At 37.2% G+C, this 26,614-nt stretch overlaps 1 protein-coding gene across 1 annotated transcript, besides 4 other annotated features; it reads left to right on the top strand.

Moving 5' to 3' along the window:
* Window positions 940-1,536: an enhancer, noted in NCBI's record as "NANOG-H3K27ac hESC enhancer chr1:241682833-241683429 (GRCh37/hg19 assembly coordinates)". NCBI's record gives its function as "activates a minimal SCP1, AML or CMV promoter by ChIP-STARR-seq in primed H9 embryonic stem cells {active_cell/tissue: H9 hESC(primed)}" and the evidence as "EXISTENCE:reporter gene assay evidence [ECO:0000049][PMID:30033119]".
* Window positions 1,152-1,434: a silencer, noted in NCBI's record as "fragment chr1:241682935-241683217 (GRCh37/hg19 assembly coordinates)". NCBI's record gives its function as "represses an EF-1alpha promoter that drives an FKBP-Casp9 reporter gene in an ReSE screen in HepG2 liver carcinoma cells {active_cell/tissue: HepG2}" and the evidence as "EXISTENCE:reporter gene assay evidence [ECO:0000049][PMID:32094911]".
* Window positions 1,200-1,329: a silencer, noted in NCBI's record as "silent region_2008". NCBI's record gives its function as "represses an Ori minimal core promoter by ATAC-STARR-seq in GM12878 lymphoblastoid cells {active_cell/tissue: GM12878}" and the evidence as "EXISTENCE:reporter gene assay evidence [ECO:0000049][PMID:35858748]".
* Window positions 1,314-23,466, top strand: FH (fumarate hydratase). The gene is made up of 10 exons (NM_000143.4): window positions 1,314-1,478; window positions 3,753-3,887; window positions 7,356-7,466; window positions 8,926-9,102; window positions 12,284-12,466; window positions 14,901-15,066; window positions 16,824-17,027; window positions 18,499-18,626; window positions 20,479-20,632; window positions 23,099-23,466. The coding sequence occupies exons 1-10, from the start codon at window positions 1,347-1,349 to the stop codon at window positions 23,239-23,241; spliced, it is 1,533 nt and encodes a 510-aa protein (NP_000134.2). The 5' UTR covers window positions 1,314-1,346; the 3' UTR covers window positions 23,242-23,466.
* Window positions 1,610-1,879: a silencer, noted in NCBI's record as "silent region_2007". NCBI's record gives its function as "represses an Ori minimal core promoter by ATAC-STARR-seq in GM12878 lymphoblastoid cells {active_cell/tissue: GM12878}" and the evidence as "EXISTENCE:reporter gene assay evidence [ECO:0000049][PMID:35858748]".

The raw sequence follows: 26,614 nt of genomic DNA, 5'->3' as shown, positions 1-26,614 counted from the left end.
ATGTTCTTTATTAAGAAACTGGATAAATAAAATATTTCATATTCATGTGATCCAATATGATTAATTTTAAAAGATCATGGCTATATCTTAAAAGCATAGAGTTCAATTATGCAACAGTAAAACTTTAAAGTAAAATATTAAAACCATTGTTTGTATATTAGTGTATGAAGCAAAAAATACACAGAACTGAAAGGATGCATCAAAATAATGATATACACAATAATGATACCTGCTGGGAAGGAGGAGAACAAAAACAAAACGTCATTCCATTATTAGCAATGTTTTAAAGAATTTGCATTCAGTTTTCTAGTGTGTTTTGATTGTAGTTCAACTATTACAATCTCATTTGAATTTTTATATTTTAAATATGTGTCAAATTTATAAGTCACAAAATAACATAATGTTACCAAAAGGTTTGGCAAGTTTGTAAGTTTGACTCATAAATTTGGCTTTGCAGGTTCTGGACTTTTGATTTTAAGAACATCCGATCGCTCTCTCTTTACTGTCATCTGGTTCCAAGCAATAGAAAAGAGAAAAGATAAAACTGTGGTTCAGATGCAATTTTATATCAATTCCTGCTTTTCTGTAATCAACTATTATATTAAAACAATATGCCTTTAATTTGAAAATGTATAAATTAGCTATGCAAAAAACTGGGAGAACGATATACAAATAATAAAAATTCCGAGGTTCCCTATAATTGTGTACGTCTTCCACAATACATTAAAAAAAAAAAAAGAGTTCTGAGGGTATAGGCTAAGAAGAGAAAGGAAACGGTAGCGATCTCAAAATGATAAGTTAAAAGAAATAAGTAAGTAGCTTATTTTTCAGTTGTGGGATTATGAATAATTACTATTTCATTATCTACACTTTGCTGCACTTCCCAAAATTTCTACACAGAAGATACAATCTGGAAGAAATGAAGAAAGATTTCAGTAGTAAGAACGTGTAATGAGTGATTACATGATAAATAAAACAATAAATATTTCTTTCTAGGATATTTCACCAACCAAACACGACCTGATTCACCAACTAATACTCCCGCCTTCTAACAGCCACACGTAAAAATCAGACCGGCTCCAAGAATAACCTGAGCCTCCTTTCCCATAATTCCCTTCTTTCTAGTTTCCCATGAATCCGAAGGCCTTACACCCCACACTACTACTAGAAAGTTAACCCGCCCCCTCATTCTTTACTGGTCATTCACGATTGGTCCTGCCCCACCTGTCGGTGTGAGGCTGTTGATTGGATAAGAGCGGAGGCCGGTGGGCGGAACGGTTTCTGACAACCGGCGTGGAGGCGTGGCCACAGCCGCCCAGAAATTCTACCCAAGCTCCCTCAGCACCATGTACCGAGCACTTCGGCTCCTCGCGCGCTCGCGTCCCCTCGTGCGGGCTCCAGCCGCAGCCTTAGCTTCGGCTCCCGGCTTGGGTGGCGCGGCCGTGCCCTCGTTTTGGCCTCCGAACGCGGCTCGAATGGTGAGCGCAGGCCGCCATCCCCCGGCCTCCCCGCAGTGACCTTCAGCCCTCCTGCCTGCCGGCCTGGGCGCCCGCGACTTGGCGGGAGAGATTCCCCGGGCGTCCGGGCCGCGCCAGACTCTGGGCTTAGCGCCCGTGCCGGCGTGGCGGGCCTCCCGGCCTCGGGACGCCTCTTCCGGCGCAGGGATGGAGCCGCAGCCCGGGAGAGCGCTTGGGGAGGGACGGGGGCTGTCAGAGAGGGTCCTACTGGGCCCGCTCCCGGCGCCTCCTCGGAGCCGTCCGTGGCGGGCCGAGGCCGGGGCGTTTTGAGGTAACTTCGCTGCTGCTGGCGCGCAGGCCCCCAGCCCCGGGGCGCTGCCCTCAAGGACAGTGCCGGCGTGGGCGGAGGGTGCTGGGAGAGGGGCAGCTCCCGCACCGTCCTGCCCCATAGCTGGGCCTTGCTGGCCGGACACTGGCCGCCTGTGCATCTAGTGGTTTCTGAACTGTGGTTTGTTTCGCCAAGGGGCACTGCACTGCTTTCAGGCCCTCCAGGTGGGGTAGAAGGTTCTTCGAAGATTTTACTTCCTTTGAAATTGCATGCTCAGTTTGTTAGGCTGACTATGGTTTCCCCCGTAATTGTTGTAAAACTCTTCAATTCCGAATACCGCGGGCATAGTGTTCTGAAGCATGTTTGAGCAGATTGGCTAGGAGCTGAATCGGTACTTTTTATTCAGAAAGCCAGCTAAGAACTTAAAGATCCAAGTTCAGGTTATGACATGCTTACGTAAGTCATTTTGCTCTTTAGAGTGTCATCTTTAGGAATGCAGGCTTTTAAAAAGCTTTAAATACATATGTATATTGTTAGGAAACGTTTGAGAAATGATAGTTGAAGAGTTACAGTTCTGCACTGGTGTAGCATGAGGTTTGCAATCTAAGAGATGTGATTTCAAATCCGTATGCAAAGTTGAAATACTTACAGCTACTCAGCAAAACTGCACATGTGAAAATACCATGTAGCGAGTGCTCATTAAATAAGTGCCCCATCTAGGGTATTTCAAAGGGCCAGTACTTTTTCTGGACTCTAAACTTCAAGATAATTTGATTGGGTCACTATACCTACGATATACAACTATACTACAGAATCAGAGATGTTTTGTATTCCTCGAACTCCCTGCTCGAATAATTTTAGGGCATTTTAAAACCTTTACATATTTTTAAATTTATTTATTGTTTATTTAGTGTTTTGTAAAGGGAAGCAGACTGGAGAACTTCTGAATCTATCCTGTTGATGCAAATGTCAAAAAATAGCAGCACTACTTTGCTCTTAGAATTGTAATGTTAGCTAAAATCAGATGGAGGTAGTTTTTGTTTTTTCTAGTTCTGGTACTTTTTGCCCTCTAACCATTCTCAGGTCCAAAATCTCTGTTGGTTTTGTTAAAAGTTCTTCCTGTTGCTAATGTTGAGAATTTCACATAACCCTTGATGCCCTAAGGTACCTTTTATTTAAAAGAACACATACAAATTCATTCAATAGAAAGATACTGTTTATTGAGTGCCTTCCACTTACCAGGCCCTGTAAATAAGACAGTCCCTATGGGGATAGGGTTTTACAGGCAGTGTTTTATTCTTGTCTTTAGTGGAGATTAAATAAGCAAAGCAGTTAAATAAGCAAATAAATCACACATGAATAATTAGTGTGATCATTGATTATTAAAAATGCATTAAAAAGTGCATTGAGAATGAGAATATTTAACAGGCAGACCAACTGTGATACTGACTTGGTAGCATGATGGCATATATATAGTGTTTATATATGTAAATAATGTTTATACATTTCTTATATAAATGAATATACATATGTAATATATGTGAATAATGTTTATATATAAATAATGTTTATAAATTTCAAATAATCATTCTTAGACCGTTTTCAAAAGTTCCCAGTAAAATAAGCATTAAACTAAGTACATTGAATTGGCCAAATCTTGACCAGTAATAAGCATACTCTTGAAATGGAAAAGATTACTATTTGTATTTCAAAGTCTTTATGTTTATCACCAGCATAGTATATTAGTTCTACAGTCTGTCTTTAAAGCCTGAATTAATAAGTTTGTGTGACAAAGAGCTCTCAAGGAAAGACCTGAAAGTGAGGAAGAGAATGAGAATCCAAATAGTATTTTTTTGTCTTTGTGATACTTATTCAGGTTTCTTTCTCTTTAACAGCTGATAAGATGCGATTACTTTTGATCCTGGGTTTCTTTTCAACTTGTAATAGTGTTGTATTCTTGTCTTTAGGCAAGCCAAAATTCCTTCCGGATAGAATATGATACCTTTGGTGAACTAAAGGTGCCAAATGATAAGTATTATGGCGCCCAGACCGTGAGATCTACGATGAACTTTAAGATTGGAGGTGTGACAGAACGCATGCCAGTAAGTGGCATTTGTGGAAATGTTGGCTATTTTGGATGAAGTAGGCTGTATTCATGAGTCACTTTACTTTATAAATATTTTTCAGAGTTAAAATGTAAAGTTATTAGAAAAGATGGCTTCGTGAGTAATAAGAGGTTCTCTTTCACTAAAATGTTAAAGAACTTTTTGAAGTTTTAGCATGCTATTATTTTGAGCCATCGCTTTGAATATTTTGGATTTTTTAAAATTTAAGGCCGGGCACGGTGGCTTATGCCTGTAATCCCAGAACTTTGGGAGGCCAAGGTGGGCAGATCACGAGGTCAAGAGATCGAGACCATCCTGGCCAACATGGTGAAACTCTGTCTCTACTAAAAATACAAAAATTAGCCGGGCACGGTGGCGCGCGCCTGTAGTCCCAATTACTCTGGAGGCTGAGACAGGAGAATTGCTTGAACCCGGGAGGCGGAGGTTGCAGTGAGCTGAGATCGCACCACTGCACTCCAGCCTGGCGACAGAGTGAGACTCCGTCTCAAAAAAAAAAAAATTAATTTAATTTTAAGTTCCGGGATACACATGCAGGATATGCAGTTTTGTTGCATAGGTAAATGTGTGCCATGGTGGTTTGCTGCACCTCTCAACCCATCACCTAGATATTAAAACCCGGCATTAGCTATTTTTTCTGCTGCTCCCCCTCCGCCCACAGGCCCCTGTGTGCTTTGTTCCCCTCCTTGTGTCCATATGTTCTCATTGTTCAGCTCCCACTTACAAGTGAGAACATGCGGGTTTGGTTTTCTGTTCCTCTGTTAGTATGCTGAGGGTCACAGCTTCTAGCTCCATCCATATCTCTGCAAAGGACATGATCTCATTCTTTTTTATGGTTGCATAATATTCCATGGTGGATATATACAACTTTTTCTTTATCCTTTATTGATGGACATTTGGGTTGATTTCATGTCTTTGCTATTGTGAATAGTTATTTTGGATTTTTATTTGGCAGAACTAAATGATTGTCTTTTCACTCTTGCTGGGTATTTACAGATTTTTACTAGGGTTCTACAGTTTGTAAATATTTTTATTTCAATACTCATTCTTTTTTCCCCCACTAATTTAAAACTGAGATTTTTTAAAATTACACTTTGTATTTTGGTTTCAGTTTCCTAAAAAGTGTATAGTACACAAACACATCAAAGTATTACTCTTAACCATGTCTGACATATAATAGATAATATATAAGTATTTATTCAATTCCATATGAATGATTAAATGATGAGAAAACTTTCTACCACATTCAATTAAATTTAAGATGCCATTAATTAGAAGATGCACCAATAGGCACCACTAAGAAAGAAAAATGCTACCAATTAAGGTTGTGACTTACCATTGATTACAAGATACATCTTGATTTCAGAGATGTTAAAGTGTGAAAAGAATTGAGAAATGCATAACATATTCTACGGGAGCCCAACCGGAGTATGAAAAATAGTCAATGCAGGATAGGCTAGTAAGCCTAGAAGTAGATAGGCTTCATCCTGTGAGATATTGTTTAACACTTATCTTATAAATATGCTTTTATTTTCAATAATTTTAAGTCATTCCTAAGCCTTCAAGACTGCCTCTTGACAGGTATATAGAACTTTACAACAGGCAGCTGAATCTTTGATGAGAATATCTTTGTCATTGCCATCTACAGCCTTCTTGGTGGTGAGGTAAACATAGTTTGACTACGTGGTTAGGTGAAAAAGGGTAGTGACCAATCCTAAAATAATCTCATATTATTCAACTCCAGAGACTAAGGAGGAGGTCAGCCCCAGCTAGTGTTGGTGGGAGTGAGCATGGCTGCCGTTTTCATTGATCTGTGTCACCAGCATGTTTTGTGGTTCTGGTGGGGCATGGTTCCTGCTGCTGCTGCTCCAGAGACAGCACAGCCATTGGGATTGCACACCTGTGAAAGGCAGACACCTGGGGTCTCGATTTTGTCATACTTTCTGAACTTTATTATGTGTAAAACAGTCTGTATGTACTCTAAACTGAGTAGTATGATTAAACTCAACCCTTTTTACTTGAGGTCCAGAGGAAAACAAAGCTAAAAAGATTATGAACATCTAATGTGAATAAATTAAGAATAAAGTGACCTGTCTTTTCTCTCTAGTGATACATTTTGCCATTTTATGGTGTTCGTTGAACCTCTTTCTGCTGTGAATGACCCTTTTTTATTTTTATGGTCCATAAACACTGGGGGTCATTCACTCCATTCAGATGGCCAGCGTTGATTGGCATTCACCTTTGCCCTTGGTAGTGGTTCAGCCCACTACCTCAGTGTTTGTTACTGTGGAGATTTAAATTCCCATTTGTTTTTGTGTTTAAAGTTTTTAAGTTTCTAATCCTGTGTGCCATCTGTCCTCATTTCGTTTGAGTCAAACGTTTCTAATGTTTTAATTTTAGTTACTTAAAATTGAAATTTCAAATTTTCTGGTTTTCCTTTTCTATTTGACCCTCAGCTTATACTTACTCTGGTCCAGGTTTATGTTTTTAATGTGTCTTATTTCTTACTTTTCTTGGCTTTTTCTACTTTGATTCCAGAGATAGCAGGTTCTCTCTTATACATTCATCATTCTCTTCCTTTCTTCCCTTTCTCCCTTCTACTCTTTCCCCATTCAAACCTGGTGTGGGATCTATACAACAATCTGTATTATTAATTTTGACAAGAACTCACAATTCACTTGTCTTATAAAAACTAGGTTTTCATTTCAGTTTATCCTTTTCAAGCTTGGTGAGGTGATTTGGGATAGACAATGAAAATATCTGCATTAATGGGGTTTTATATATATCGGAAGCTGTCACCTTTAGGTCTGGAGAATCTTGGGTTTAAAAAAATAATTCTTCTGAGAGAAATGTCCAGGGAGTTACTGAGTATTAAGGCTTTACTAGCTAAGTAGAATAGATTGCTTTTTGGCCTTGGGGTGAAATGATAACCCAGTCAGTCACTGGTAGTCTCATACTGATTGGCAGTTAAATATATCCCTTATTTATTTATTTTTTTAAGAGGGGAAGGAAACAATTATAATGTAACGTGGGATCCAGTAAGAGAAAATAATGGTTCTTGCTGGTGAAAAGATTGAGTACTAAATTTGTTTTTATTTATAGTATATGAAATAAACACATATAATTTATTGTGTGTATTTGTGCATAGGATTGTATTCGTGTGAATATGTGTGTATATGTATGTGGGAGACGTACACACATATATATATGAAGAGTCAATGTATTTGTTTTTATTTGGTTCCTTAAACAAATAGATCTATGATAATGTTGATTCTTGGTTCATGAATTCCTGTCTATAATCTTTCTCTATAACCGAAACATTTTAGAGCTATAGTGTTACTGTTTTATTGTTATTGTTTTATGTATAGCTTTTGCATCTGCCAAAATAATAAACTTCCATGCTTAAGTAAAATTGTAAATTTGAAATATTTTTCTGATTAATTTTAGACCCCAGTTATTAAAGCTTTTGGCATCTTGAAGCGAGCGGCCGCTGAAGTAAACCAGGATTATGGTCTTGATCCAAAGATTGCTAATGCAATAATGAAGGCAGCAGATGAGGTAGGAGGTGATAAGTGTGTTTGCTTAATAACCTCAGACCCATGCCATACTCTGGATGACGATATGCTCTGGCAGAAGGAAAGGGGAACTGTGAATTCTTGAATTAATGAATTTCAGGGGAGGGTGGTAGCATTATTTTTAGTGGTGATATTAATATGGTGCTTAAAACGTTACATTGTGACAAAATTTCTGGATGATTTTATACCTTTTGTTTTTAAGCCTTTTGACTTTCCTTAATTTATATAGTTTTAAGAAAATTTTTTGAAAAGATATCATTTGAACTTTACTTGATTTTTTATTTTATATATAAATCTTTTTAAAACCAGTTGATTATTTGATAATGCATATTGAGAATGTAATTTTACTAATATGCTAATAACATTGTCTTAAAGAAGCAATCAGAGGTAACAGAACTGTATATATAGTGTTGTTAATTACAGCACTATTTATAATAATGAAAACAAATTAGACAATGCGTAACTATAACAGCTACTTATATAAATTATATTTATATGGTAAATTATAGAAAATTACTTTTTTGAAGATTGGCATGCACAAAGCCTAGCCTATGAGAAATAGGGAGGAAAGTTTGCAAAAATATATGTATTTTACGATCCTAATTTTGTTTAGGAAAAAATGAACAGAAAGTGTGTGTTTCTCATATACACACACACACACACACACACACACACCCTCATTGCATGAGATAGAGACTGGGGATGCCAACATGCTAATAGTCATAATTACTGAGCAATAGAACTATAGTGACTGTTTTACTTTTCTCAGTTCTCAAAATTTTCTACACTAATCACATATTTTTATATAACCAGAAAAAAGTTTTATTTTAAAGTGGACCAGTTGTTCAAGGTAATAGATTTCTCAAGTGCATTCTGATTTTTTAAGCTAAAATCATTCCAGAAGATTGTTAACCACCCATATTTTACAAAGCACACCATCCAAAAACTAACACATAAGCTGGATGTATAAAAATACAACAAAAATAGGGGCAAATCTGGGCAGCGTTTATTTCTACATTTGGTGATTACTGCTCATTGGACATCTGTGCAATGAAGTAGCTATTAGTGAACTCACATTTTCAAGTTACTAGCTCATTAGCATGCTGACTCTGGCAATAACATCTGTTGGATATTCCTGCTGAGCACCAGCAACAAATATATCTAGAGACTAAACGTATTTGCCAGCCTTAACAGGTGGTCCTCTGTTAGAGGAGGCTGTGGGAGAGAGATAAGAAAGATACCTTTGATTCCCTTTTCATTTGAAACCAGTGAATTGTCATACCATTCACTATAGATAATATTTCACTTTTTAAAGTATCTGTGGTTGGAGCAAGTGATGCTTCAGAAGCTTAGATATGTGGGTCAACTGTATTCAAACTCTGTGGCATAATCAGCATTATTATTTCCTTTTTTAAAATACATTTTTAACATTTTTTCTGCAGGTAGCTGAAGGTAAATTAAATGATCATTTTCCTCTCGTGGTATGGCAGACTGGATCAGGAACTCAGACAAATATGAATGTAAATGAAGTCATTAGCAATAGAGCAATTGAAATGTTAGGAGGTGAACTTGGCAGCAAGATACCTGTGCATCCCAACGATCATGTTAATAAAAGCCAGGTCAGTATGTGAGCTTTGCTGTTTTTTGGTTATAAATTGAAAAGCATACCTGAGATTGTTCTTGTAAAACAAGCATTCACTTTTTGACAAGAAGTGTTCATTATTTAATGGATAAGGCTTCTTATGGTTCTTATTTCTTGAAGGAATCTTGGTTTTATGTTTCAATCCTTATAAAAATTATTTTTAGGACACCTGAATTTAGTGTATGTATTTTTTTATTGTTTAAAACTCTATTTTGAAATAATTTTAGATTTATAAGAGAATTGCAAAGATAGTTCAAATAGTTTCTATATCCCTTCACTCAGCTTCCCTTATTGTTAACATCTTATGTAACCATGGTACATTTATCAAAACTAAGAAATTAACATAGATACAGTACTCTTAGCTAAACAACAGACTTTAAAAAAAAAACAAAAAACTGAGGCTTTCCTCAGTTTTTCCACTCATGTTCTTTTTCAGGATCCAATCAATGCTATACATTACATTTAGTCACATGTCCCCTTGGTTTCTTCTAATCTGTGACAGTTTCTTGGTCTTTTGCGATTGTCTCAGTCCTTTGGGGCTGCAGTAATAAAATACAATAGACTGACTGGCTTATAAACAATAGAAGAAGTTAATTTGTCACAGTTCTGGCAGCTAGAAGTCCGAGGTCAGGCCACTGGCCAATTCATTGGCTTGGTGGGGGCCCACTTTTTGGTTTGTAGATGGCCATCTTTTCTGTGTCCTCACATGGTAGAAGGGACAAGGGAGCTCTCTGGGGTCTCTTCGTAAGGACACTAATTCCGTTCATGAGAGCTTTGCCCTATGAACTAATCACCTTGCAAAGGCCGCATCTCCTAATACTATTACCCTAGGGGTTAGGATTTCACATAGCAGTGACCTTGACACTTTGAAAGCAGTGGTCAGGTATTTTGTAGAATGTCCCTCAATTCTGGTGTGTCTGACGTTTTCTCATTAGATTGAGACTTTTGAATTTTTGAGAAAACTATCACAGAAATAAAGGGCCCTTCTCATTGCATCATATCAGGGGTTCATGATAGCAACATGACTTTTACTGGTGATGTTAACCTTAATCACTTGGTTAAGCTGGTACTTGCCAGGTTTCTCCATGGTAAAATTATAATTTTTCCTCTTCTATACCCTGTTCATTAGAAATAGGTCACTAAACCCTGCCTGCATTCCAGGCACTGTATTTCAGTTTCTAGAGGGAGGAGTATCAAAAAGTTTTTGGGCTTACATTAAAATCACTGTAGTAATTAATAGCGCGCTACCTTGAGGCTAGGCAAACATCTTCTTTTTCCTTAAACTTTTTCCTACTATTTTTAGCATTCATCAGGGAATCTTATCTACAGCAATTACTTCCATGGTGTTTTAATAGTGATTTTCAGTTTTCTTTATTCATTCTACACTTGTTAGTTGAATTTTTCTGCAAGGAAGATTTGTTCTCTCTGTCCCATTTATTTATTTATTCAGTTATTTGGGTATATCAGTATGGACTGATGGTTATTTATTTTATTCTTCAGGTTATGATCCCATACTTTTGTTTATATTGTTGCTTAAATTCTTTCAGCTCTGGGAACCCAATTCATTTGGCTCTTGTGTCCTTTTAGGCATGCCACCATCCTTTTACTTTTCTGAAGTGTGTTCCGACTTCCTGGTACTTTAAGATGCTCCAAGCTCATTGTCTTGTATTGTTTCTGCCCCAGCCCTAGAAACAGCCATTTTTCAAGGAACTGTTGGAGAATTCTTATTGGAAAATGATATTTAGAAACTGAGATCTGGGTGCTAAGTATAATTTAATATATTTTTAAGTAGTAAGGAAGAAGTGTTTTTAATACACGTTCATTGTATAAGGGATTTTCCCAATCTAATACTTGCCTTTATGAATTTATGTTCTATATATACTGAAGTCTGAAGTCTGCCTCAGAAAGGTAGAGTTATAGATGAAACGTGATTGGCTACATGTTGATAATTATGTAAACTATTTGAATTCAGGTGACAGGTACATAAGTGTTTATTATACCATTCATCCTACTTCTTTCGTAAGTACTTTATATTTTGCATAGTAAACGTCAAAATATATAAATAATGTATCTTTTTAAATGACAGTATACTTTTATATATATCTGTGTGTGTGCATGCGTGTGTGTGTGTGTGTGTGTGTGTGTGTGTGTGTGTGTGTGTGTGTTTAGAGATTGTGCTTCACTCTGTCACCCAGGCTGGAGTGCAGTAGAGTGAGCATAGCTCACTGCAGCCTGGAAATGCTGAGCTCCAGGGATCCTCATGCCTTAGCTTCCTGAGCAAGTGGGACCATAGGCATGCACCGCCATGCCTGGCTAACTTTAAAAATGTTTTCAGAGACAGGGTATTGCTCTGTGTTGCCCAGGCTGGTCTTAAACTCCTGGCCTCAATTGATCCTCCTGCCTCAGCCTCTGAAAGTGCTGAGGTTATAGGCATGAGCCACTGCACCCAGCTTGATATTATGTTTTAAAAGTACAGGGTCAACAGTTGAGGAAAGAGCACTGAGTATATACTACCTGGCTAGGTCTCAGGTTTGCCAGTTGCTAAATATTTTGGCATTTATACAGTCTCTTTGAGGGCTTGGCTTTCCTATTTTTAAAGTGGTAATCTACCTCACAGAATTTTTCTAAACTTAATAAAGAGCTGTTTATGAAAGACTGTATGCACTGTATAATTGTAAGATATTCAATTATAAGATTTTATAAGAATATATAATTCAATAATTGATGTAATTTGATATAATTATAAGATATTCAACTACATTGAAGATACTACTGCTGTCTTCAAGTGCAGTTGTTAACTATACTTCTCTGTATTTTGCTGTCATTTATTAGCAGGCAGATATAATACGTAATACATAATATAATACATAATATATTATATAATACATAATATAATATAATACGTAATACATATATAATACATAATACATTCAGTATACTTAATGTGTATAATACAGTTCTGAGTATGTGTTAGAAACCAGGATGCTGCTTATTTGATTCTATAATAACTCACCTATGACATGCCACACATACATGTAACTGAGCTGGGTTTTGAGTAGTTAGTTGGAGAGTTTTTTAATTGAGAAGTTTAATTCAGAAGTTTGTTTTTGTTGCCTCTGATTTAACATTTTATATTTCTTTTGAAAAATTTCCAACAGAGCTCAAATGATACTTTTCCCACAGCAATGCACATTGCTGCTGCAATAGAAGTTCATGAAGTACTGTTACCAGGACTACAGAAGTTACATGATGCTCTTGATGCAAAATCCAAAGAGTTTGCACAGATCATCAAGATTGGACGTACTCATACTCAGGATGCTGTTCCACTTACTCTTGGGCAGGTATAGGAGTTTGACTAATTTGATTCAATTTAGAGCTTGGTACAAATGGCCAATGTGTCATCCTTGAAATCTGACTAGCTTAAAAGGCCAAATTTGTAACCGGAAACTTCAGTGACAGAGGTTGTTCTGTTCAACCAATCAGTAATTTTCATTGACATCCACTTAGAAGAAAAGCAGAGTATACTGGCTATAAGTCAGATTCAGTCAGACTGCTCGGGTTCAAATCTTAGCTTTGCTGTGTACAAGCTATGGGACCATAGGAAAGTCATTTAGCCTTTCTGTGCCTCAGTTTTCTGAGCTACAAAATGAGGAAAATAATTTCCCTTTCATAGGATAGTTGTGAAGCTCTAGTAAGTTGATTTATGTAGAGTGCTTAGAAGCATGCCTGGCACACAGTAAGTACCCATTCATGTTAGCTACCATCATCACCACCGTCATCGCTGTCATCTCCATCAGTATCATCATGGTTTTTCTTTTGTCTTTCTTACCTAAATTAGTAGGTTATTTAAAATTTAATCTCAAAGTGATTAAATAAGGTAGATCTTTTTAAGATGGATCTGGCCGCATGTGAAGGAGATACTACTCTCTTCTCCAAGATATTAGAAAGTATTTTCATGTTTCTTTTTCAATGCCTTAAGGAATATCTAATAGTATACATTGTGAAGGAAATGTAAGGAAATACAGGGAATGACTTTTGTCTTAGTAAACTCACACTCCAATTGGGGTAGCTTAATTTCCTTATGGAAGGAATGAGGAAAACTTGAAATGAGTAATTGAAAAACAAATGATGGGACTAAATTGAACTCACTGGATTGAGTTGCTTCTTAAGGCTGTGTCTCATTTCTCTTTGCATCATTAGTACTTAGGACCATGCATAATTTCTAAGGAGGAACAGTATGTATGTTTTGAAACTTTTGAATATTTCTCAAGTTTCTAATTTTAACCTTTTTTTGGTGTTGAAAACTACAATACTAAATACCATTTGGGCCATGACTCAGCCTCCTGTGTAAAATCATCATTCTTCCTGTTAAGACAGAAAATTACATTTTTCTGTTTGACTTTATCAGAAGCATTTATACTTGCTTTTATTGGGATTGTCTTTTGAGTTCGTGCATTGTTCCCTGTCAAAGTGTATTTTATAAGTGAATCTATCTAGTGTGTTTGTGTGTGTGTGTATACATACAGTCATGTGTTGCTTAGCAATGGGGGTATGTTCTGAAAAATGCATCCTTAGGCAATTTCATAGTTATGTGAACATCACAGAGTATACTCACACAAACCTAGATGGTATAGCCTTCTATACACCTAGGCTATATGGCATAGCCTTTTCCTCCTAGGCTACAAATCTGTGCAGCATGTTACTGCATTGGATACAATAGGCAATCGTAACACAATGGTAAGTATTTGTGTATCTAAACATATCTAAATGTAGAAAAGGTACAGTAAAAATACGGTTTTATAATCTTAGGGTCCCACTGTTTATGTGATCTTTCGTTGGCTGAAACATCATTATGTGGTGCGTGACTGTATATGAGTGATGTTATATCAGATGCATCAGGTCTACCTATAATGAGTTATATCTTTTGAAATGTTTTCTTTAGAACAGTATGGCATCCTGTCACTTATGGTTTTTTAGTGTTTTCAGGCAGGAAAAAAGGATAGATTTAGTGTAACCATGTATCTTGGTTTGTCCAGTTAACTCCCAGTGTATGCCTTTTGTTTCTGCATGACTATTAATAGAGCCCTTTCTGTGTTCAAAACATAAATTCTGTGGTTGCTTTAATTAAGGCATGTCAAAATTTGGAACCAGTGTTGACATTGGCACATTGATGCTATGATCTGACTCTACCGTTACCTCCTATTCTTTTTGGAAGGTCCTTCAATGCAAACTGTTACCTTCCTGTGCTATTCAGTGAGTCATTAGCTTCCCAAGTCTCTGTAGAATGTCTTCATATTTCCTGGTAGGTTTATACACTGAAATTGTATGGAGAATATTTCTATGTTTGCATTTTTTTGGGGGAGATGAGTTACTATTTTTTCTTACACCAAAGTTGTCTGAGGCATCCCAAAAAATAAGAAATCACTTCAGTTTCTTTAGTAGACTGCAAGTAAACCAATAATTTAGTGTAGTAAAGTTGTTCTTTTTAAAGTGTATTTCCTGTGCTGTTTTTCTTTGCTTCCTATTAAAAGACTAGATTATAATAAATAGGCTGCATGTTATCAGTGGCATTGTCGTACCTTATGGTTCTATAAACCCTCATCCTTCCCTATACTTTGCTCATCATAAGATTTGAAGTAGTATAAATAAAACTTGATTAGCTTGTAATTTAGTATTCTGAAAGGTATTTTTAAAAATTTCTATTTAATGCAGTTAGAGTAACTTGTAAGCTATTAGGAATTACTTATTCTTACCTTAATTTTCTTTTCTTTTCAGGAATTTAGTGGTTATGTTCAACAAGTAAAATATGCAATGACAAGAATAAAAGCTGCCATGCCAAGAATCTATGAGCTCGCAGCTGGAGGCACTGCTGTTGGTACAGGTTTAAATACTAGAATTGGCTTTGCAGAAAAGGTTGCTGCAAAAGTGGCTGCACTTACAGGTTAGTGATCACGTGAATTATTTCTCATTTTCATTTCTCATTATACGTGGTCTGTACATTTTCTGAGTGTTCCTGTCTTGAATTCTTGTGAATTTAAAGTTAGAAATGATATTTTTCCATCAAACATGTGTTTTAAGTATATTTCTGAAGTTATAATGTTAATTATTTGCCTTTTAAAAAATGTTCCATGTAGGAGTTTATACAGCATGCCATTAAAATCTACCAGTGTTAGCTTTGTTTACTAGTTAGTTTTCAATTAATTTCCCTTTAAAGTTTTGAATAGCAGTTTTCAAAATAGGCAGAAAAAACTGAGTGTTGAGTAAGTTATTTGAATAGTAAATATGTTGTAGACAGACTTAATTTCTTTTTTTTCCTATTATGTCATGCTGTGATAATTCTTTGAATTATTGACCTTTTTGAACCATGTCTTTCCTTTAGTAGAGAGAGTATTATACTTTAGATAATGATAACTATTATTAGGGCCAAGTTGTCATCTTCAGAAAACTCTCATTAAGATGTAGATGTTACCAGACGGTTAGGGTAGAGATAATTATACACTGCACATGATAGCTTACCAGCTGATTTGTCTTTAAACCATATTTTAATAGAAAAGAACTCTACTTTTAGGGTTTGGCAAATGTAGATTTATAAAATTTTTAACATGGGGGTTAACTGAGAACATCTAACTCATTTTAGCACACTGTTTTTATAGGGGATCTTGTGGGCTCCTGGCTAGGGGAGAGGATGAAGCACAGTAAAGTGGACAAAGAAACTTTAAAAAATTGTATTAGGGGCCGGACATGGGGGCTCACACCTGTAATCCTAGCACTTTGGGAGGCCAAGATGGGCAGATCACTTGAGGTCAGGAGTTCGAGACCAGCCTGGTCAACATGGCGAAACCCTGTCTCTAGTAAAAATTTAAAAAAATTAGCCGGGCATGGTGGCGGGCGCCTGTAACCCCAGCTACTTGGGAGGCTGAGGCAGGAGAATTGCTGGAACCCTGGAGGAGGAGGTTGCAATGAGCCAAGATCGTACCACTGCCCTCCAGCCTGGCTAAAAAAGCAAGACTCTGTCTCAAAAAAAAAAAAAAGAAAAAAGGTATTAGGAAAGGAGTGTGGTATAAACCAGAATGAATTCCCATATACTTTTTACTCAAGCATAGTCAGGCATCATATACGTGTGTTTGCAGTAGGATTGTGTTTTTTCTTTCAGTACATTTATCATACTTGTTATTTCATCTTTTTAAAATGTAGTGCCTGGCTAAGCACAGTGGAATTACACTCCTGTAATTCCAGCACTTCAGGAGACCAAGGTGGGTGGATCGCTAGAGCCTAGGAGTTTGAGACCAGCCTGGGCAACATGGCGAAACCCCATCTCTACTAAAAATTAAAGAATTAGCTGGGCGTGGTGGTGTGCACCTGTAGTCTTAGCTACTCTGGAGGCTGAGGTGGGAGGATTGCCTGAGCCATGGAGGTTGAGGCTACAGTGAGCTGTGATTGAGCCACACTGCACTCCAGCCTGGGCAGCAGAGTGAGACCCTGTCTGAAAAAACTTAAAAAATGTAATACCAGATTCTTTCTACTCCTTTAGGACTTCTTTTAAAAATGTAGACAAAATTTGAGTCTTAAGTAAACATTTTTTTCTGAAGTAAAATTTTTATTTTTTCGTATATTGGAACTTTCTGTTTCACTTGCTAATGGTAGAAAAATGTTTAGTTTAACTTGTTCACCCATCTAGGATATTTTTCTTTTCTTTAGGCTTGCCTTTTGTCACTGCTCCGAATAAATTTGAAGCTCTGGCTGCTCATGACGCTCTGGTTGAGCTCAGTGGAGCCATGAACACTACTGCCTGCAGTCTGATGAAGATAGCAAATGATATTCGATTTTTGGGTTCTGGTCCTCGGTCAGGTCTGGGAGAATTGATCTTGCCTGAAAATGAACCAGGAAGCAGTATCATGCCAGGTAATCACATAGCTAGTAAATGTTGGAGCTAAAACTTGACTAGGTCCTAGGCATTCTTAGCTATGGACCATGTCTCTCTTTGTTTAAAGTTATCCCGCAGCTGGATGCGCAAGGCGCACTGTTCCAGCATGTCTGTGGTCCTCTGGTCAGGACTGCTGGGCACGTCACCTGACAAGATAGGAAGAAAGAATCTGACTTAGCAGCAAGTATTTCGAATCCCACATTAGAAAATGTAGAGCAGGCTGTTAAAGTGATCAGCGCGGGTTGAATAAAAAGAAGTCATACCAAACTTCACTTATTTCATTTTTTGCATTCCGTTATATGCCTGTTAGATATAGCAAGTGACACAACAGTGTATGTCTGGATTTCAGCAAGTCATTTGATAGATTCGCATGATAGTCATTGATTCCAGTGGAGAAGCGTGGGCAGTGCTGGCAGATGAATGTAGCTGGGTGAACAGTGACATTTCAGAAGTGACTAATGAAGTGACTTCAGTCTAGAAGAATATATTGGTAACAAGCTGAAGGGCTCTGCCCTTCAACACTTTACTGGTGACTGAGGGTGAAGGAAGAGAATACATGCTAATCATATTAACAGTTAACAAAGTTGGGATAGCAATACTATGGATGACAGAACTGAGATCCATAAAGGCCACTGTAGCTTGGGCTAAAACTGACAATGTAACTTTTAATAGTGAGAAAGGCCTGACTCTAGATTTTTATGGAAATTATGGATCTGTAGAATAAGAAGAGATGAAATTTTGTTTTAAAGTACTTCATGTTGAAGAATGACATAAAGGTTTAGTTGATTGCAAATCCAGGGTGATTGCCAAAAGAAAGAGAACTGGGGGAGTCACAGATAAAGGCAATAATCCACCCAATAATCTTTCCAGTGTGTTAACTTGTACTGGTCAGAGGAATCTGGGTTGTTTGATTCAAACTTGGAGCTTGTCCAAGGAGTGTGAGCAGGGTAGTGGGGTTCCAGAGACTCGTGATAAATAGGAAAATTTTAGCTTAGCATCACCTTCCCCTAGGAAGCCTCCCATGTGTTAGTGAAGGGTCGCTTTTATAAGTGTTCTGATAGCAGCATACACTACTCTGTATTTACCCCTTATAATTGCCAGCTCTTTCTCCCTAGCCTCCAAGTTCTGCGAGGGCAGGGCCTGCATCTTTCTTATTCAGTGTTGTATATTGAGTGCCTGGCTCCATAAATATGTATAGAATGAATGAAAATCATGAAGGTGGAGAACTATATTTAATGTGTAGTTGTGGCTACTCGTTAGCCTTTGAATGATTCATTTTGTGGCTACCCATCCCACCTTCCTTGGTTGGTTTGTTTCATTAAATTACACTGATGGTTGGGCCTTGCTTTATTGTATATCTTACTCTATTTAGTGAAATTAGATTTCTTTATTCTCCTGATTATTTGCATAAATTTAGTCTTTACTCTGTCATTGGTGGTTTTCTTGAAGGCAAGGTGAACCCTACTCAGTGTGAAGCAATGACCATGGTTGCAGCCCAAGTCATGGGGAACCATGTTGCTGTCACTGTCGGAGGCAGCAATGGACATTTTGAGTTGAATGTTTTCAAGCCAATGATGGTAAGCTTTAAATCTGATTTTTAATGTTTTTTGACCAAAGGCTTATTATCTTGGTTTTGTATTTCATAAAGACTTCTAGTGATTCCACATTGGGTAGTTGGGTGACATAAGTAGCAGTTGGAAGTCAAGCATTTATTAAGTTACCAGAATAATCCTAGATAATAGAAATTAGTTGACTTTTAACCTAAGCAATTTGATGTTTTTTTTAATAGCCCGTTTAAGAAAAATAAAATGCCTCCCTACAAGCCTGTCTCCTTCTCATGCTGCTGCTTTCTTCTTCAAATTCAGTCTTCTTGGAAGGATAGCACATACTCACTTTCATTTATGCTGTAGTCACCACAGCCCAGCATGGCCCCCTCCACGCTTGAATTATTCTCCCATTCATTGGTGACTACCTCAGTCCAGCTGGCATTGCGCAGTTAGTTCTTCCCTTACTAATAGTTGATGTTGACTGTCCCTCCTTGAAACATTCTTCATCCCTGCTTTCTTGAACATTTTTTCACCAGTTCTTCTTCTGCCCCCTGTCAGACTTCGTTTCATTGTCTGGCTTTACCTTTCCACATACTTGAAAACATTGTGTCCACCCAAACCGTTCTTTTTCTTTCGTCTTTACGAAGATCGATAGATGCATCGCGCCATTTCTCATCAGTTTCCTCAGCTGCAGATAGTGGAGCTGTTGCCATAATTTAGAGTCCTTCATTTGGACAAAGTGTTATAGCTAAAGTAGAGTAGGGGCTTACTTTCTCTTGGAATCTCTTCTAAATTCTAATTTTAATTTTATAAGAATATGCAAATGACAAATATGGAGTATATTTAATATATTCACTAAATATTTATTGAGTACCATTTTCTATCAGGCACTGTACTGGATGCATAATAGAGATAGAGCAATGAAAAGACAGATTTCTTGCTCTCATGGAATGTATATCCTAGTGGTAAATAAAAACACAGGCCAGAGCAGAACTCAGACTGTTAAAATTTTGCTCTCAGGTCAGATTCCAAACAGTTAACACGAGATACCCAGCATTTATAGGTGCATAACAATAAATGCCTTGTTAATCTTTTTAAAATTTTATTTTTAATGTAAAATAAAGATAATCAATATTTGCCTTATTACAAGGTCATTAGTAGCAAATTAAAACTTAGATTATATGTCTTAGAGTCCATTGTTGGAAGTCTAGTTTTCAGACCGGAGTTTTAGACCAGAGGATATTAGGATTTGGATATATCTTAATAAATATTGGAAATGTTGCCAACAAAGCCAAAACAAACTAATTGATTTTATACTGTTTTTTAATATTATATGAAAAGTTATTTTACAGTGACTGGAGTATTCGTTAAAGCATAGAAAACCTAGAAATTTGGTGATCATTAGATTTTGCCCTGACTTTACTAATTGCCTCACACTCATACTGAACTTTCGAACCTCTGCATCTTTGCTCCTCTTCCTTCTGCGTGGAAGATTCTTTTTCCTTCTCTGGCCAAGTCCTCTCCATAAAATAGGATTTCACCAGTTCCGACAACTGGAGTTAATTTCTCTTTCTCTATGGTCTCTAACACTTCAGACCTCTGTTTTAAATACTTGCTATGGGCTATTTTGTGTTTTAGTCATTTGTATTTATGTCTTTTTCACCTTTTTTAGATTTCTGTGCCTTCAAATGTTCATGCTTTCTTTCACATTTGTTTCCTTGGTTATAGTGCCTTAAAATTTGTAGAAGATCTATATGTTTATTGAATTGTATATTTACTGTCAACCAGAAAATAATATGTTATTGGACAAAAAACATGTTGCCTTAGTAATGTCTCTCTCTCTCTCTCTCTCTCTCTCTCTCTCTCTCTCACTCACTCAAAGATTAAAAATGTGTTACACTCAGCCAGGCTGCTGGGGGATGCTTCAGTTTCCTTTACAGAAAACTGCGTGGTGGGAATCCAGGCCAATACAGAAAGGATCAACAAGCTGATGAATGAGTCTCTAATGTTGGTGACAGCTCTCAATCCTCATATAGGTAAGTGTTTAAGGAATAATAATATCATTTTGAATGCAAAATTAAAAAGCTAAACCATTTTTAAGAGACAAGTGGATCAGTGTTTGAGAACAGCAAATTTCTTTTGAATATGGTTTTAGTAAAATCTCAAAATATTTGAAATTGTGTGGAAAGGTACTATATAACTTGTATGGTGTCATAGTTCTTTCAAAACTAGATCTATTATGCCTCATTTTATTTGAAATGTATCGAGAAGTAGTAGTTCAAACTTATTTTGATTTTAATGGAATTCAGACGCCAAATATTCTATGCAGACCATTGGGGAAGGTTATTTGTAAGACCTTCAGTGGGTAATGTCACTAGGTGGCACTGCTGATTAGCAACATTGAATGAACTCATTTTTCTACCTTCCCTAGATCTCTACAATGCTTTAATTTTGTTGTTTTATTCAATTCAGAAATGGAAAGTTACAATTAAAAGAAAAAGTTTATGTATTCATTGCTTATAGTGAAAGGGAGGAAGGAAAATGCAAATATTTTGTCTAAAACCATGCTATTGTATTATAAGTCTTTTTTGGAACTGTAAATATTTCATTATGTAGAATCAAACATACAGATTTGGGTAGTAGACTGACCATAGAGATCTCCATTAAATAAACTGTTTACACTTTTGTAGATTTTGAGGCATTATGTTGCATTATATTATGATGTGTTAAAAGCCTTTTACCCATTCTTCCTTTCTGCTAAGCAGAGGTTAATATATTTTCTGCCTTTCTGTTATAGAACAAGTTATGATTCACTTATTTGGCATAATATGGCTACTGCTTCTTCTATAATCTTGAACTTTCAAGGCAAATTTTATATTCCTGGTTTCACATCAAGCTATAATTACAGTTTTTTAAAATTAGAGCTCATTTGACTCTTTTAGGTAGCTCTGAGCCCAGTATGATATCAGTTTTTTGGTGTGGCATTGAGATTGGTAATAATGTTTGATCCATTTAAAATTATGGTACATCAACTACATCTGGAAAAACACAAAGGGGAACCCAGAGGCTCGTGTGAGCAGTTTTCATCAGATCTTTACTTCAGAATGTGTTACCAAAACTTTAAATTAGAGGTGTCTCCTAAAGTTGAATGATTGGCAAATCTTTATTGGAATCAACTTATTGTGACATAAAAAGAATTGTTAGAGGCCATATGAGAATGAGATGGGTCAACACCACCTCACTAGTTGACTTGGTGTGAGCCTTACAACCCTCTGAATCATGGGTTCCCTATATTCTCATTATGTACCAGGCTGGTTGCCAATAGTGTCTTGTTGGACTTGACAGCTGAAATGCTTAGACTTTAAAGCCATTATTAAAATAAAAGTACTGGATATATATTGATCTCAAGAGTTTAACATGCAAATTCTTTCTCAAAGCATTTCTGCTTTAAGAAAGATGCCCTTTTCAGTAAATGGCATCAATAAATGCCCTTTCAGATCAATAAATGCCCTTTTCAACATATTTAGCATTCACAAATTCAGTTAAGTAATAAAAGTAACTATGCCCATGCTTTCTTTTATAGCTGATTAATAATTGCATATTGACACATGCCATCTTATTGATGATGTATACTGCCTCAGCAAGCTTCTTCCTTTTGGTCATATTTCTCTGATCTTGTTTTTTTTCTCCCGCATTGGTTTCATTTTCATTCCTGCTTTTTCTTCTTGACATATATATATATATATATATATATATATATATATATATATATATATATGTTAAGACAGCTTGCAGAACTGCCCTGCCCCCACTTTTATTAATTTGAAAAGCAAATAACTCTGAAGTAAACAGTATGCCTGTGATCTTTTGTGCAGTCTGTATTTCTGCCCAGACTCCCTATTTGTGTCCCTGTAATGTCTGGGAGGAGGCCAGGGTATAGAAGCCATTGCAGTGGAGAGCCACATAGAGAAGAGCCATTGGAAGCAGCTCTGGAGGCACCCCTCCCCAGGCCCTGCCTGCGCCTGCCTCACTGCGAGGACTTCTCCCCTCTCAGAGCCACTCACCACAGTTGCCAGACGTGCAGTGCTTTATTTTCTGCTGGACTGGAGCATTTAGCTTGTTAATGTTTCTTTAGAAAGATAATTGTTTCTAGTTAAACATGTTGTTTGAAAAATATACCCAGATGTATATTTTTATGTCGTGGTGCTATAATTTCTACTTTTTTCCCCTTCAAAATATCTAAGTTACTGGAAAATTTCAACTTAGGAACAAATCTGTTGGAGAAAGTGAGGTATGTTTAAGTGTTTATTTCTTAAGGAAAGTAAATGTTCTACATAAAAAATGATTATTGAGATAATCACTGTTAACTAATTTAAAAACAAAAAATGTCATTTAAGAGGCCCATATAGCATCAATATCAAGTAAACAATTATGTCACCTTTTGCTTTAGGAAACCAAATATCACTGCTAACCCATATGTCGTCTTTTTATTTTTTCTTCAGGGTATGACAAGGCAGCAAAGATTGCTAAGACAGCACACAAAAATGGATCAACCTTAAAGGAAACTGCTATCGAACTTGGCTATCTCACAGCAGAGCAGTTTGACGAATGGGTAAAACCTAAGGACATGCTGGGTCCAAAGTGATTTACATAAATTTATAATGAAAATAAACATGTATAAAATTTAAAAAAACAGACTCCCATTTCTTAAAAACGGATAAGTTTGAAAGGAAACTGCTATTGAACTTAAGCATCTCTAGCAGAGCAATTTGATCAGTATATAAAACCCTAGGATGTGCTAGGTCTAAGATGGATTAAACAAGTATAAAATAAAATACATTTATAAAATAAAAAGGAAAACAGACTTAAATTTTCTCCTATGTTAATTGACTTGTATTATAGTTGAATCTATGATATTTGTGCATGTTGTCTTTGTGACTTCATAAGTTACCAATTTCTAAAGGGTTTTAATTTTGGAGGTTATTGGTGGTTTAAAAAATTGCCCGATTATATCTTATTATCTCATTCCCAAACTATGTCCTTAGCCATCTTTTATTTTCCTTTGATTTGGAGACACAGTGACCAAGCCCTTTTGAGTGGGGATGTGTATATGTGTGTGTGTGTGTGCACGCACGTGTGTGTGTGTGATAGAATAGGTTAAGAAAATTGGGACATACATATCCTGTGTGTTAAACACACACCTATCCCTCCAACCTTGTTTCTGTTACCACAGAGGGACCAGATCAAGGCCAGGCATGGTGGGTCAGGGACACCGACTTTAGGAGACTGCGCTTTGGGAAACTGAGGCAGAAAGATCATTTGAGCCTAGGAGTTTGAGACCAGCCTGGGCAGCATAATGAGATCCCTATCTCTACAAAAAATAAAACAAAAATTAGGCAGGCTTGGTAGTGTGTGCCTGTAATCCCAGCTACTCAGGAAGCTAAGGTGGTAGGATTCCTTGAGCCCAGGAAGTTGAGGCTGCAGTGAGCCAAGATTGCACCCCTACACTCCAGCCTAGGTGACAGAGTGAGACCCTGTCTCAAAAGAAAAAAAACAACAAAAAGACTGGGTTAAGAATTACAGGACAAGGGTTAGAAAGATAAAGGGAGCAGGCAGGAAGATGGGAAGGAAAGGAAAGATGTCCTGAAAGTGAGTCTTGTTCATCATCTCAAGTGCTGAGATTCTTCAGCAGAAATTCATTTGAAACAACCTTAGGGGATTTTGAATTAGCAGTTATAGGGAGATGCAGAATAGGGTGACCCAAATCCAAAGCTAAGGAATGTATTTAAAATAGAGCCAACCTCTACTATGCAGGGAGTCGGAACAGGCATTTGTTCTATTTTTTCTTCTACCTCGTGTAATAAATAACAGGATCATAAGAGGAACTCTCATTAACTAAAACATCTCATCTGTAAGTATTACTCTATCAGGTACATTTTAAAAAATGGGATATTTACCCCCTAATATTCTTGGGAAATCAGTCACATTAACACCAACTCCTCTGTCGTAGTTTGAAGTAGTTGCTTTATATAGAATTTAAAAGCGTAATTTAAAAAGTTCTAGAAACATTGTGATGAAAGATGAAATTTATATTTTTCTAATTTCTTAAGCGTGAATGGTCACTATTAAAAGGCTGTTCAAACTTTAAAAACTGAACTATAGAGAACCTATAGGATCTACTTTTTAGCTCATGCAATACTGTTTCTGCCAGTGTTTTTCAGAGGGCGATGCGATGATGCTTGTGTAGCTTGCTTTAAAACAAAGCATGCTTTCCGTTGGCACATTCTGTTTGGTTTTTTTTAGAAAAAGATTTTTATTGGAAAATAAAATCAATTAGACTGCATAGCTATGCCTGGACCCCGACAACCAAACTGGCAACTGATCTGTAGTTGTGAAACAGTTTATCCACTATGATGCTGAATGTTTTGCCTTAGCAGGCATTCTCAGTCTAAATAGGCTGTCATTTGAGGGTCACGAGAGACACAGTGACTTATGTAATAAAGATTATGGCAGATCAAGTTCCTAGCCTCAGACAGTCTTTGCACAGCTGTCTGATGTATCCCAGCATATTATAGGGCATCATGGAATCCTTTGAGTTGGCAGTCATCTTTGTGTGATGTTAGTGAAGTGAAACCGCTTTATGATGCAATCTAAATAAGGCTTGTAGAATTCCCTGTTGGAGGGTTGTTCCGAAAGTCAACTTCCATGTTTTTTCGCTAGGGGCAATTTTGTCTCCCAGGGGACATTTGGCAATGTCTGGAGACATGTTTGGTTGTCATCACAGAGGAGGGGGGTGCTACTGGCTCTAATTGGGCAGAAGCCAGAGATGCCGCTAAATGTTAATGCACAGGAGAGCCCCTCCGCCCACAACAAAGACTTTTCTGGCTCAAGATGTCAATAATGCCAAGATTGAGAAACTTAGAACCAAAAAGTATGTCTCTGTAAATGCTCGCCATTCAGTTAGGCTTCACTCCTTGTAGGGAGAGTAGGGACAGGGGGAGTGTCCTGGAGTTGCTGTGACTTTATTCATTGAAATTCTAAGGTGTCTTAGAAATGAGCAAGAACAAGAAAGTGAAGTATTAGCTGATCATGGTGCTCATGTCTTAGAATGACTTACTCCCAGCAGGTTTGTGCCAGATCAACTCCATGGGGGTCAACGCCTTGCAAAAATGTCATGCTAGAGATGGAGACAAAGATAATTCATGCATCCCTGTAAGCAAACCTGAAGGACCAGGGGCTTTCTTGAGCAGACAGATTTCAAAGGGGGAAAGTCCTGGGATTTATGAATGAACTGCTTGGTCTGGGACTACACCCAACTCAACACACAAGTAGCAGGGAATTCATAGAAAGCCACCAGTCAAATTTACTCTTTCTTTTAATGGTTCAGTTTGGTAACAAAAAAAAAAAGAAGGAAAAAACATACATACATATATACATACACACAAAATTTTTTGAGAATATTTCATTCTCAAGATTATGCTTTTGTGCATGGCTATGTTTTACTTTTCTCTTCTTCCTCCTCAGTGTCCTTTTGGTCTTTGCAGCAGAAAGAAATCTGGGAGAGACAAATGTAATAATAGAAAAAGGGTGGTATTATAAAGACGAGATTAAAACTGGTAAAGTGAATTATTTTTCTTTTTGGAGTAAATTTATTGAATTGGCCACTCAGCAATTAATTTTTGAGCAATTGATGTAGAGCTTCCACATGCAATCTGGGTCAGGAGAAAGAAACTGCTAATTATCGTCTGCCATTTATGATGTTAAGAAGCAGAGCGCTGAGGTCATCTGTGTCAAGCCAGGTAGGTGAGAGACCCTTGTATTGGTATCTTCTGATCATCCTGGAGATACCTGCTGACATTTCACCTTGCTTTTCAGGGCTTTCCCCAAAAGACTAACATTAGGCTCCCAGCCACAGGCCAGGGTGCTCAGACAGGTACCACAACAGCTCGTTCCATCCCCGCTGTTGTTTCAGCATCAAATGTAAGCTTACGGAACCAGAGCATGAGAAGCCCTGGGTC

This window comes from Homo sapiens, chromosome 1, assembly GCF_000001405.40.
Source record: "Homo sapiens chromosome 1, GRCh38.p14 Primary Assembly".
NCBI classification, from domain to species: domain Eukaryota; kingdom Metazoa; phylum Chordata; class Mammalia; order Primates; family Hominidae; genus Homo; species Homo sapiens.
The sequence above is the reverse complement of the archived record's forward strand: the minus strand, read 5'-3'. Positions and strand labels throughout refer to the sequence as shown.

What these genes read in the sequence shown, in the direction of transcription:
- FH (NM_000143.4), top strand. Translation starts at nt 1,347, where the DNA reads ATGTACCGAGCACTTCGGCTCCTCGCGCGCTCGCGTCCCCTCGTGCGG. An exon ending in AGGAAGCAGTATCATGCCAG is followed by an intron (nt 17,028 to 18,498) that starts GTAATCACATAG and finishes GTTTTCTTGAAG; the next exon opens with GCAAGGTGAACCCTACTCAG. An exon ending in AGCTCTCAATCCTCATATAG is followed by an intron (nt 20,633 to 23,098) that starts GTAAGTGTTTAA and finishes TTTTTTCTTCAG; the next exon opens with GGTATGACAAGGCAGCAAAG.